This window comes from Homo sapiens, chromosome 4 (genome assembly GCF_000001405.40).
Source record: "Homo sapiens chromosome 4, GRCh38.p14 Primary Assembly".
Lineage (NCBI taxonomy): Eukaryota > Metazoa > Chordata > Mammalia > Primates > Hominidae > Homo > Homo sapiens.
This window is the reverse complement of record NC_000004.12, coordinates 15,590,000-15,603,578: the sequence shown is the minus strand read 5'-3', so window position 1 is coordinate 15,603,578 and position 13,579 is coordinate 15,590,000. Positions and strand designations below refer to the sequence as shown.

Here is a 13,579-nt window from a genome sequence, read left to right as displayed (position 1 = left end):
TGCTCATTTGCCATTCTGAAAAACCTAAGGCCCTTAAGAATTATTGCTAAGTCTACTCTGTGCTCTGTAAATGGAACAACAAAGTCAGTATGATAGTATATCTGTGTACAGCATGGTTTGCTGAATATTTTAGGCCCACTGTTGAGACCTGCTCAAAAAATTTCTTTCAAAACGTTACTGCTTATTGACAAGGCTCCTGGTCACCCAAGAGCTCTGGTGGAGATGTACAAGGAGATTAATGTTTTTATGCCTGTTAACATCTATTCTGCAGCTCCATGCAGAATTACTCCATGGATCAAGGAATAATTCTGACTTTCAAGTCTTATTAAGAAATACATTTTGTATGGCTATAGTTGCCATAGATAGTGATTCCTCTGATGGATCAGGGCAAAGTAAATTGAAAATATTCTGGAAAGGATTCAATTAGAAGGATTCACCATTCCAGGTGCCATTAAGAATATTCGTGATTCATTGGAGGAGGTCAGAATATCAGCATTAACAAGAGATTGGATGAAGTTGATTCCAACTCTCAATGGATGTCTTTGTAGGGTTCCAGACTTTAGTGGAGGAAGTCACTGCAGATGTGGTGAAAATAGAACCAGAATTAGAAATAGAGCCTGAAGATCTGACTGAACTGCTGCAACCTCATGATAAAACTTGAATGGATATAGAGTTGCTTCTTATGGATGAGCAAAGAATATTTGTTTCTTGGTCGGGCGCGGTGGCTCACTCTTGTAATCCCGGCACTTTGGGAGGCGGAGGCAGGAAGATTGCTTGTGTCCAGGAGCTCAAGACCAGCCTAGACAACATAGTGAGACCCTGTCTCTACAAAAAATAAAAGATTAGCTGAGTGTGGTGGCGTGTACCTGTAGTCCCAGCTACTTGAGAGACTGAGGTGTGAGGATTGCTTGAGCCTAGGAGGTTGAGGCTGCAGTGAACCATAATCACACCACTGCACTCCGCCTGGACGACAGAGCAAGACCCTGTCTCAAAAAAGTTTATTGAGATGGACTCTACTCCTGGCGAAGATGCTGTGAACATTTGTCAAATGACAACAAAGGATTTAGAATATTACATAAACTTAATTGATAAAGCAGTGGCAGAGTTTGAGAAGATTAATTCCAGTTTTGAAAGAGATTCTGTGGGTAAGATGCTATCAGCATTTCATGCTACAGAGAAATCTTTCATGAAAGGAAGAGTCAGTCAATGCAACAAACTTCATTGTTGTCTTATTTTAAGAAATTCTCACAGCCACCCCAACCATCAGCAACCACCAGTTGCTAATCAGCCAGCAACATCGAGGCAAGACCCTCCATCAGCAAAAAATTACAACTTACTGCAGGCTCAGATGATCATTAGCACTTTTGAACAATAAAGTATTTTTAAATTAAAGGTATGTACATTTTTGAGATAATGCTTTTGCACGCTTAATACACTATAATACAGTGTAAACATAACTTTGCACTGGGAAACCAAAAAAATTGGTGTGACTCATTTTATTGCAGTATTCACTTTATTGCAATGGTCTGGAACCAAGTGCACACTATCTCCGAGGTATGCCTGTACATGCAAACCTGTGGAAGATGAAGTAATCTTGCAGTCTTGGATATTTATTTGTTTTGTTTATTTGGAGAGAGGAGGAGGAGTAGCAATAAAAACTGGTAAACATTCAGTTCAGGCAAATTGTCTTAGTGTTTTCTAAAGATGAAGAATCATTTGATGGAATATAACTCACTACTGCTTTTTATTTCAACTAATATTTGAATTAAACACAGCAAAGGAGGAGGAACTCTAAAGGCTCTAATGATGCTCTCTTTAAAGCTTTACCTTGCTCTAAGGTAAAACTTGTTAAGTTTCTCTCACTTTCATTCCATTGCTGTTAATATTTGCCCAAGCAAAAGGTAAGTAAGTACAAAGGAATAGAGGCAGGAAGCTCATAATATATCGTACTGTGGGTAGTCTCAATTGAATTTCAGGGTCAAGTAGCAGACACAAGGCAGACTGCTAAATAGAACACTTTGCACAGTTTGAAAACAGTTGATAATTTTATTATTTGCCAATAATATGTTCTTCTGATGTGATGCATATAATTTAAAATTTTCTCATATCCTAAGTGTAGTTTTTACATGATACAGAAAGTACAGTGAAAAAAATTACCTGTTGCGTATAAGAGAGGCAACATAGATCCAAACAGACAAAACATTTTTGGGGTATGGGTGTATGTATACAGCTAAAGCAAATTCAACATTAGGAACATCAATATTATGTACTCCAGTACTATACACAGCGTCAATTAAAGGCTTCACTTCAGAATAAGGCATGTGAAGAGGAAATCCAGAGAACTGAAGGGAAAAAACATTTGTAGTCATTAGTGAAGTTTGAAGATTTAATACATTTTTTCCTACGTAAATGTATGCAATTAAGATAAGTGTTCTGGATCTCAGTTATTTGCTTGTGTTTTTCTACTCAGCTTTTTATTAGCAATACAGAAAATCGAGAGCTGCTTAATATCCATTTTGTTTTCCTTGCATATAGGTGTATAAGCCACCTGTTAGTCACTCCATCACTGTTCCCTCTTTTTGAAAGTACCTAGTATGCATCGTAACCATTGTAATTCCAGATACATAGGTTAAACTAACAAATACATTTCTTTTTTCTTTTTTTTTTTTTTTTTTGAGACAGGTCTGACTGTTGTCCATGCTAGACTGCAGTGGCATGATCATGGCTCACCACTGCAGCCTCGGCCTCCTGCTGGGCTCAAATGGTCCCCCCACTTTAGCCTCCTGAGTAGCTGGGACTGCAGGCAAGTGCCACCATCCTGGCTACTTTTTGTATTTTTTGTAGAGATGGAGTTTTGCCATGCTGCCAAGGCTGATCTTGAACTCCAGGGCTCAAGCGATCCGCTGCCTCAGCCTCCCAAAGTGCTGGGGTTACAGGTGTGAGCCATAGCGCCCGACAATAATTTTCGTCCCCTTGGCTACAATGATTGATCCACGGGGATGGGCAAGTGATCAAAGGGAGTCTCAGAGGGAATCTTGGGAAACTTGTTAGGAATAATGGCACGTGATGTTCTCCTGCTTTGGGTAGTATGTGCGCAGATGTGAATTCTGTAAGTGTTCCAGCATTTGCTTCCATGAGGAAACCCAGTCTCAGGATGATGCCATCATACGGAAGAGGAGGGCAGAATGGGAGGACTTGCAAAAGAGTGGGACAGCCCTGATAGCTACCCTCTAAGCTTTACTTAAGCCAGTAGATTCTCTATTGCTCAAGCCTTTTTGAGTTTTCTGACACTTGAACTGAAAATATCCTGGCTGAGAACCTGCCTTATAAGTTAAAGGATAAATTTTACTCAGTGAGTGATCTAATTTGACCTTCACACTGTTTAGCTAGTAAGGCTTACTGTTAAGTTTTAGTTACGAGCCTGCTTTGTAGGTTTTATTATCCAGCTATAGCATGTGAACATAGCAGCAGGCAGTAAAGAGGGTATATCGTCTATTAATAACCACCTTTCTTAGCAATGAAAAGCAATCAGTATAAAACCATATCCTTAAAAAAACTGCTCTAGAGTGTTTTGATCCTTATGCACAGTTGTGTCTAACATGATTTAGCCAGATGTTTTCATTTTTTTGATACGTAAATGTATTTCATAAAAGGTATTTTTCATGGGATACTTATATGAAAAATGGTGGTATTTTGCTATTTCATGATTATTGAGGTTTAAAACTTATGATCACAGTTTTTAGTTTATGCTGCTTTAAATATGTACTTCTGGGAGCAACGTGGGTCTTTTGATTCCAGAAACCTATTATTGGCTAATTTCCAATTTGAAACAAGGAAATCCACAGTCAGTTTAGGATCCATTTGTAACTTACCCTGTAGTCTCCCAGCTGTTTTAGCAGTTCTGCTCTGTGGTCATCTTCTACATCTTCTCCTTGACTTTTTTCTAACAGAGGCAAGAAGTGACGCAGAGTAGAGGTACAATACCTATTCCACCGAGTCAGATGGCGTGGCCTCCAGTCCATGATTTTTTCTTTTAGTATTTTTTCAATCCTGTTCACAAAACATAAATTCCATTTTTTGGTGACTCACTTTTCCCTTGTTAAAAAATGTATGTAGTATGTAGTGGGGATTCAGATGATTGTATAACTATATTTTTGTTGATGGAGTTGTGATTATCCAGGCATAGTTAATGTCTAATAATGGGCTACTCCCTGGGGATTCAAAATTAACATGCAGTCCTGTCCTTAAGGGTTGTATATGAGTTGAGATGGGAAATAGTCCTATAAATAGAAAGTATGTGTATCCTAAGAGCTATAACAGATGCTTGAAATGTAACACAGAAGAGGGAGTACTGAATGACTTGGGGATAGCTGAATTCAATACATGCAGCAAAAGTTTATTATTACTAATTTTTTTTAAAGGCAGGATCTTGCTCTGTTGCCCAGGCTGGATTGAAGTGGTACAATCACAGCTCACTGCATCCTCAACTCTCGGGCTCAAGTGAACCTCCCACCTCAGCCTCTTTGGTAGCTGGGACCACAGGTGCATGCCATTATGTCTGGCTAATTTTTTTTTCTTTTTTATAGAGACAAGGTCTTGCTATGTTGCCCAGGCTGGTCTCAAATTCTTGGGCTCAAGTGATCCGCCTGCCTTGGCCTCCCAAAGTGTTGAGATTACAAGTGTGAGTCACTGCGCTTGGCCATGAAATGTTTTTTTGAAATGTTATGACTATACTCATTGGTAGTATATATACAGACAGATGAATTAGACACAGGCGTAAGAAGTAGGGCTTATGTTGAAAGCCTCAAATATTTGTGGAGCTCTTAGTGCCTCGTGATTTATTCACATCATGAATAGTGAATTCTATCCATGATGATTAATTTTTTTCTAAATTGCCTTAAAACTGCCTTTAAAATACCAACATCATTGAAACTGTTTGTGATAAGTACAGGTATTGGGTTCATAGGGTGTGAAGTTTAAGCATGGAATGAAGGAAGATAGCTACTATTTATTGGGCCATTATTTACCAGATACTGCGCTAAGTGCTTTTTGTAGATGTTTATTTAATCTCAATAATAACCTTACGAGGTAGGGGATATTGTCCTGATTTTACAGATGAGGGGACAGTTTGAGGTAGGATAAGTGATTTGACTAAGGCAAAGGAGCTTGGATTCAAATTGAAACCCTGCTGATTCTAAAGCCTCTTGTACATTGCCTAACTAAATGCATGGGTTTAGAGACCTAGCTAGCTTCTCATTGTTCAGTAGTCATAGGGATCATTTCTTTTTTGGTGCTTAGCACATCTTTGTTTTGGATTTCAAGATGGTCTGCGCACGAAAGTATGGACGAATTGTCAGGCATTTTAATATTGGAGAAATAAATGACTTGGGTCCAATCGATAGCATGTTGAAGCTATCAGAAAAAAACAAAAAGGTTGTTTGGAGATTAGTTGTTCTAGTTGGGGATCTTGAATAAGGCATTATGGAGAAATTGAGAGTAAATGAGTGTAAACCGATATTTTCTAGTAATAATGCCTCAAGAGGGGTCACACAGCTTAATACAGTAGAAATAGTACACATGTCTTGAAATCAGAAAGGTTGGGCTGGGCTCAGAAGCCCCCTTTAACACTTAAACAAGTATGTGGACCTCTCTGAGCCTCAGTTTTCACATTGTGAAACCAGGAGAATAAGTTCTATTTTTACAGGGTTATGAGAATTACAGAGACTCATACAGGCTCTTACTGATCTTCTCCATGTGTTAGGTCCATAAACTAGCTGCAGTTCAATAGGACAGAAGAGGTATATTTAAGCTGAGATTTATGATGTGCCTCAACAACACCTATAACATGATGTTAAACTCCAATCCAAGGTGAAGTCCCTGTAGAAGTACGTATTACTGGTGTTCCACTCTGGTTGGTTCCACAGCATGCTGATGCTAAAGGCTCCTTTTGAGCCATGGGATTTAGAGATCACATCTGTATTTGGAATCTATAAACATGAATTAAAGTTAAGTTGCCTAAATTGTTTCACATTCATCCAGGCTGACAGTGGTTTAAAGTTTGGTATTATACTCCTAGTGACAGATTACATGTGGATTTATGGATGTTATGTTACCTGTCTTGTAGCTCAGCTGCAGCTGCTTTGTCTGAGCGCTGGTAAATTAGCTCTTCAGGCTATAGAAGAGAAAATAGTTCAGAAAGTATAAAAATCACCTACAGTTAATTTGAACATCCTTTTAAAAATCTTAAAAATCAATGAAATCTCAGACATCGAGATATAGAAAATAATATAATGCATGCTGATGTACCCATGACCCACCAAAAGTAAAACATCATAATATAGTTCTTTCCCAATTTCATTTTTCTTCTCTCTTACCACAGAAGTAACCATGACCTGAATTTGTTTTAACACCCCTTCATTCAACAAGTACTGATTGCCTGCTGTGTGCTAGGCACTTTCATAGGTGAGAGGGATAGGGATTTGGCTATGAAAAAAAATTCCTGTCTTCATTAACACAATGTGTTTATGATTTTATTACAGATACATGTACCCCTAAACAACATTTTATTGTTTCACATGTTTTCTAAACTTTACGTAATTGTTTTATGAACATGCAACTTGTGCTTTCTCCCTTAACTTTATATTTAGTGGCAGCAACAAACATATTTTTAGAGGGCTTACTAAGATTCATTAATGCTGATTAACTACTGTAAAATATTCCATCGTGTTACATAATTTTTCTCTTCTGTCATTCCAACTCTTATGCTATTTCAAGCAATGCTCCTACTAAAAATCTTGTATATATCACCTTATACACATATGGGAGAATTTCTCTAGGGTAATGTTCTTCAAAGCTTTTTCTGAAAGGTAGATCCGGAGTATAAAATACATTTCATTACAAACCTAGTACACACATACATATATCTATCAAATGAAACAAAACTTTTAGTAAACTGCTTATGCTTACTACTTACAATCTACTACTGGTCAGGACCCTGTAAGTTAATTTTATGAGCCCCTAGTGGATCATACCCTGCAATTTAACTTGATGTTTCATTAAAAGTTATGAAATCTATTTAGTGAATTGAGATGAGCATTTAAAAAATTTAGATGGAATACATTTTGTGGTACTTTTTATGTCATGAAACTTTATATCAAAACTTTTTCTTCCACATGTGTGTAAGATGTGTATACTGGTCCTTTCACATATATGTAAACGTATATATCTGTTTCTTGTTGTGAGTTGAGCTCAGATGCGTTTGATAAACAAATACTGTTCTAGACTACCCAGGGGTAAAAAATATCTTGTAACCCAGTATAATTTCCTATCTTTTACTTTGTCTACATTTAACTGTTAATAAAAGATTTATACCTGAACACTGGAAAGGCCAGGATATGGAAGGCTTCTTGAAAAGAAAGATTTCCATAGCTTGGGCCTGGTGACATCAAAATTTATCCTTAGTGGAGATTCATATCGTTGAATATTAAACCAAATCTAAGAAAGACAAGACTACATTAGCATATATGTTAGCATGTATACATGCACATGTATGTGTGCATGGATGTATGTGTGGCATAGAGGCAGCAGAGAGACAGCAAGTGTTCATATAGGCCGCATACATTTTGTCATTTTTTGATTATAAAAATTGTGTGTATTTTACAATCAGTGGCATCATAGAGTTGTCATTGGCCATTTTTTCACATTTTTTATCTGAAGTTGGGGGTGTACCTTAGTGTTGACTGTAGATTTGATAAAAAGTGAGGTTGTTTTTTGTTATAAAAACCAAGGCCACTTCTTTCTTAGGCTAGTCTTTCCTGACCTTTCTCTTCCCAGCCTCCTAATTGAATTGAGTGTCCATTCATCTCTGCATCCACAGCAATGCGCATTCTCTGAGATAGCCCTTGTGTTGGTGAGGCAGCGTAGCATGTTGGTTCTGGAACCAGACCACTTGTGTTTTAATTTTGGCTCCAACATTTACTATTTGTGTGACCTTGGATGATTAATGTAACTTCTGTATGCCTCGGTTTCCTTCTGTTTAACAGTGGGATAATAAATAGTATCTACCTCAAGGTTGAGTTGATTCAGTGAGTTAATTAATCTGTACCTCTTAGAAAAATGCCTGGTATGTAGTAAGTGCTCAATAATTGTTAGCTATTTTAAAATTATTATTAGTTAGCATTGTTTATAATTGCCTGTCTATTCGTGTCCACATTAGGCTGTTAGACTTTTGTCCTGAGGACATTCACTATGTGCCTTATTTACCATTGTATCTTTAGCACCTAGCATAGCTCCTGGCATACAGTAGTCATACTGAGTAACTATATACATGAATTTGTCCATTCAGTATATTTAATCAGCTACCTACTATGTTGAGGCTCAGTTCTAATTACTGGGGATAAAGCAGTGAATGAAACAGATTTTCTACCCTTACAGAGTATCTAATAAGAAAAGATAGCAAACAAATAAGTAAACAGGCAGGCTCACACTCATAATCCCAGCAGTTTGGGAGGCCAAAGCGGGAGGATCACTTGAGGCCAGGGGTTCAAGACCAGTCTGGACAGCATAGTGAGACCCCCCATCTCTTAAAAAAAAATTTTTTTTTTTTTGAGAAGTAGCCAGGCGTGGTGGTGTGTTCCTATAGTCCTAGATGCTTGAGAGGCTGAGGTGGGAGGACTGCTTCAGCCCAGTATTTCAAGGCTCCAGTGAACTGTGGTCACACCACTGCACTCCAGCCTGGATGACAGCAAGTTCCTGTTTAAAGCAACAACAACAACAAAAACCAAGTAGACACATGGGATAACAGATGATGTTGCATGATGTGGTAAATTGTATCATTAGCCCCAATTCTGCACTCCTTTCTATATGCATACCCTTTCTCGTGTTACTTTGCAGTTCCTCCCACTAAAAGAGAAAAAATACACTTTTGCACTCCTTGACTTTTGGCCAGTAGACTGGGACAGAAGTCAGTGTATGGCTTCTGAGCCTACCCTTAAGAGGCTTTGTGTGCTTCTGCTTGTCCTTTTGTACCTCTGCCATTGTCATTGCACTGCATCCCAGAATAAACACACCTGAAGCTGAGCTCTCCCAGTTGACCCACAGATCTACTGTGAGAAGCAGAGCTTGTCTTGCTACCACAACTTGCAGCAGAGTTGCCCAGCCTCAATTAGCAGAACCTCCCCAGCTGACTCAGATCCCTGAGAATAAATGTTTGAAGCCATTTAGTTTGGGGGTGGGTTTTTACTGTCTTTATTGTGGCAGTAGTTAATTGTGCAAGGGCTGTGGAGAAAACAAAAATGGAGCATTTTAAGGCAGGCAGGGAAGTTCTAACTGGAAAAATCACTTTTCATCAGAAATGCAAGAAGTGAGGGAGAAATCTATGATGATATCCAGTAAGGGGGCAGTGGTCATTTATGCCTAGGAAACAACAAATGTAAAGTGTGCTTTGTTATGTTTGAGGAACAGCAAGGAATATGAAGTAGTTTTAAAGAGTGAGCAAGCTGGAGAGAGCAAGTAAGAGGTGACATTATCAGAGGAAGGGGGAGAGAGGTGGGTAGGGTGGGTATCAGATCATGGAGGTCCCGTAGGCCATTATGAAGATTTAGGCTTTGACTCTTAAGTGAGATAGGAAGTCACTGGAGTATTTGGGTAGAGGAGTGACAATTTGCCTTTTAACAGGAATTTTCTGTGCTGTTTTGAGACTAGACAAAAGAAGGTAGGGTTAAATGGTGAAACCTTCAGTTAGGACACTTGTTTTGAATAATCTGGGTGAGAGCTACAGTGACTTGAACGAACATGCTAGCAGTAAAAGTGGAGAGATGTGGTTGGACGCTGGGTATACTGTGAAGGTGGAACCAGTAGGATTTGGTTTGGATATAGGAGAGAGAGGAATCACAGATGACTCCAAGGATTTTGGCCAAAAAACCGACTGATGAAATTGACATTTATTGAGATGGGAAAGACTGCAAAGGGGAATCAGGAGTTTGGGCATCTTAAGTTTGAGATGTCTCTCTCACATCCAAATGAGGATGTTGAGTCGGTGATTGGATATTTGAGTCTGAAGTTCTGGGGAGCTAGGTGAGCTGGAGATATAAACTTGGGAATCATCGGCATATATGTGGTATTCCCTGGGAGGAATTATAGGTAGAAAAGAGGTTTGATGAACTTTGAGGATCTCTAATGTTTCAAATTTGGAGAATACAGAAAAAGTAGCAAAGGATATAGAGAAGTAGAAGCCAGTAAGGTAGGAGGCCTTGACTTGGAATCCAAATCAGAAAATTGGCTCAAGACAAGATCTTTAAGAACTACAATTTGGCTATAGAGTAGGGAATGTTCAGAAAAGTAGTGGGAAATTGCACTGCATACATAGGGCTTTGAGATCCAAGGTGGAAAGTTTACTCTTAAATCTGTATGCAGTGAAGTTCCCCTCGTACTTTCTGAGCCAGAAAGTGATGAAAGCTTAATCAGGTATCCGTGTATCAAAAAGTGAACTTAATTGGGGATACTATTTAGTTAGTTATTTATAGAAATGTAGGGCAAAACAATAATGGCATGACCTGGGAAATAGCAGAGATAGCATCTGTATGATTTGGCCTCTATAATTAGGATTGAAGTAGAATGAAGTAAGGGAGAGGGAAAATCAAGAATAATTCGAGGGTTTGAATCAGGATAAGTGATATTGATAGAAATAGGAAGCCAGGAAGGGGAGCTGGTTTTGGGGAAAATGATTTGAGTTTTGCATGTGCTGTGTGAGATTTTGATAAGGCACCTGGGTGTCTAGCAAACAGCTGAAAATTCAAGACAAAGGTTCTGGGGCTGGTTACAGATTTATCACTTCTCTACCAGGATAAACTAGATAGAGCCACAATTAATAATAATAGGTGTGGTCCTAGAAGAATCTAAATATAGAATCTTGAGGAACTTCTATTTTTAAGGGGTGGGAAGAAGAGCCATTGAAAGAAACATAAGAAACAACTGCAGAGTAATGAAGAGCAAACTGTCCTTTATCAGTAAACTACGGAGGGGGAAAGTGTTTTTTCATGAAGAACATTAGTTGTGATTTTTATGTTAAATGACAGAAAAGGAGAGGAGTGAAAATGAGAAGCAGCCATTGGATTTATTTATTCATTAGCAAGACAATGGTGCTTCTCAGAGTTTAATTTCTGCAGTATGGTCAGGAAGGAAGAGCTAGATTACAGTAGGTTAAGGTCTGAGTGTGCTTATAAAGTGAAAGCAAGAGATATAACTAGTATTTGAAGAACTTGGGGAGGAAAGGGAAGAAAGGCAATGTAGTTTTAGGTGTATAGCCAGGTTGGGAAAAGGGTATTTTAGAATTGTTGGACCCCTGAGCGTATCAATAGATAGAGGAGGAGAGAGAAAAAATAGAGGAGCTAGTTGGATGGAATAGTGGAGCATGGAATGGGAATGGAAACAAGCACAGTGGAAAGGGAAGAGACTTATTCCTTGGAAAAGGAATGACAGGAGGAAAAAGACTGACATCCAAAGAAGTTGTGTGGTGGAGTAGAGGGCAGTTGAGGTTTCAGAGTGCCAGGACAACAAAGCCAGGAGGAGGTCCTCTGCTGAGTGGCCAAGGCTTAGAGCAGGTTTAGAAGAGCTACAATGGGGGATGCACAACATCATAAGCTACTATTACCCATCTCAGAGAAGAGGAGAAAAGAATGTTCTTTCTTCCTCACAAAACCTTGGCATTATGAGAATTAGTCAACCATATAGTAATTGTTTTGAGAGCTGGTAATAATTTTGACAGATAACAGAGTTATTTGAAGGCTTTTTCAGTGCCTGTTAACCCTGCTTGATTACTAATGACCTTAAAATGATCCTCTAAATGTAGATGAGGCTTAGCAGATCACTTTTCATTATAATGACTTTTATTAAAAATAATAATTAACATGAGAATGGTGTTCCACAGTGCTCTTTACATATGTAATTAATAGTGCTGTAGTTGCTATTTGCTGAACACATGAAGGACAGATATTTTGCTGCGTGCTTGGCATATATTATCTCTAATTTTAGCAGTAATGCTTAAAAAAAATAGGTTGATGGGGCTGGGCACGGTGGCTCACGCCTGTAATCCCAGCACTTTGGGAGGCTGAGGCGGGCAGATCACCTGAGGTCGGGAGCTCAAGACCAGCCTGACCAACATGGAGAAACCCCGTCTCTACTAAAAATACAAAATTAGCTGGGTGTGGTGGTGCATGCCTGTAATCCCAGCTACTCAGAAGGCTGAGGCAGGAGAATTGCTTGAACCCGAGAGACGGAGGTTGCGTTGAGCCGAGATCGCTCCGTTGCACTCCAGCCTGGGCAACAAGAGTGAAAGTCCGTCTCAAAAAAAAAAAAAAAAATAGACTGATGGTCTTCAGAGAAGGGTCCATACCCCAGGAGGATGGGAAGAAAAAAAATAGATTTCATGTTTAAAGTAGTTTTTGGTATATTGATACGAAAATATATATAATTCATAAAAATATGCATGTTGGGGATGCATGTGCAAACAGTTTTTATAGACAGAAGCACATAAAAACAATCATTCAATAATTTGCTGGGTGTGGTGGCTCGCGCCTGTAATCCCAGCACTTTGGGAGGCTAAGGCAGGTGGATCACTTGAGGCCAGGAGTTGGAGATGAGCCTAGTCAATATGGTGAGACCTCATCTCTTACTAAATTAGCCAGGCAAGGTGGCACGTGCCTGTGATCCCAGCTACTTGGGAGGCTGAGGTAGGAGAATCGCATGAACGCAGGATGTGGAGATTGCAGTGAGCTGAGATGGCACCACTGGACTCCAGCCTAGGCGACAGAGCGAAACTATCTCAAAAGAAAAATAATAATTAAAAAAATAATTAAAGAGTTGTTACTCTGTTAGGTGCTTAACATTAATAATCTCATTCACTTCTCACAACTATTCTATAAAGTAGTGACTTTACTGTTACCTCCATTTTACCAGCGAAGAAGCTGAAGCTGTGAGAGATTGACTTTCCCAAGCCCACACAACTAGTAAATGATAAAATTGGAGTTTAAACTGAGGCAGTCTGATCGCATAACTCATTTTTCTTTGAGATGGAGTCTTGCTCTGTTGCCCAGGATGGAATGCAGTGGCTCCATCTCAGCTCGTTGCAACCTCTGCCTCCTGGGTTCAAGCAATTCTCCTGCCTCAGCCTCCCAAGTAGCTGGGATTACAGAGTCACACCATCATGCCCAGCTAATTTTTGTATTTTCAGTAGAGACGGGGTTTCGCCATGTTGGCCAGGCTGGTCTCGAACTCCTGACCTTAGGTGACCCACCCACCTTGGCCTCCCAAAGTGCTGGGATTACAGGCATGAGCCACAGCGCCCAGCTCTATAACTTATATTTTTAACCACTACTTTATTTAGTACCCTTCACAATAAAATCATGCAGCCCTCAAAACTGGCGCAACTAGAATTACCTGGGGATATTGCAGGCCAGGTGAGACCTGGGAATCTCCTTTGAAAAAAGAAAGAGAGAAAGAGACAGAGAAACCCAATCTGTTCAGGTGACAAATTTGCCTCAGTTCTTAAAACACTACGAATTAGAAATTGTAAACTCTATTT

General features: G+C 39.2%; 1 protein-coding gene across 3 annotated transcripts in view; it reads right to left on the bottom strand.

Annotated features, from left to right (window-relative positions):
• The window catches only part of CC2D2A (coiled-coil and C2 domain containing 2A), a 131,693-nt gene continuing 120,135 nt past the window's right edge, over nt 2,022-13,579 (bottom strand). For 2 of the 3 annotated variants that reach the window (NM_001378615.1, NM_001378617.1), the window contains 4 exons: nt 7,372-7,494; nt 6,114-6,172; nt 3,873-4,050; nt 2,027-2,342 (listed from right to left, as the gene is read on the bottom strand). In NM_001378615.1, coding sequence (NP_001365544.1) covers nt 2,154-2,342; nt 3,873-4,050; nt 6,114-6,172; nt 7,372-7,494 — 549 coding nt within the window. In that variant the 3' untranslated portion in view covers nt 2,027-2,153. Of the gene's footprint in view, nt 2,343-3,872; nt 4,051-6,113; nt 6,173-7,371; nt 7,495-13,579 lie in introns of all 3 variants that reach the window. The other variant, NM_001080522.2, reaches the window with a different exon arrangement.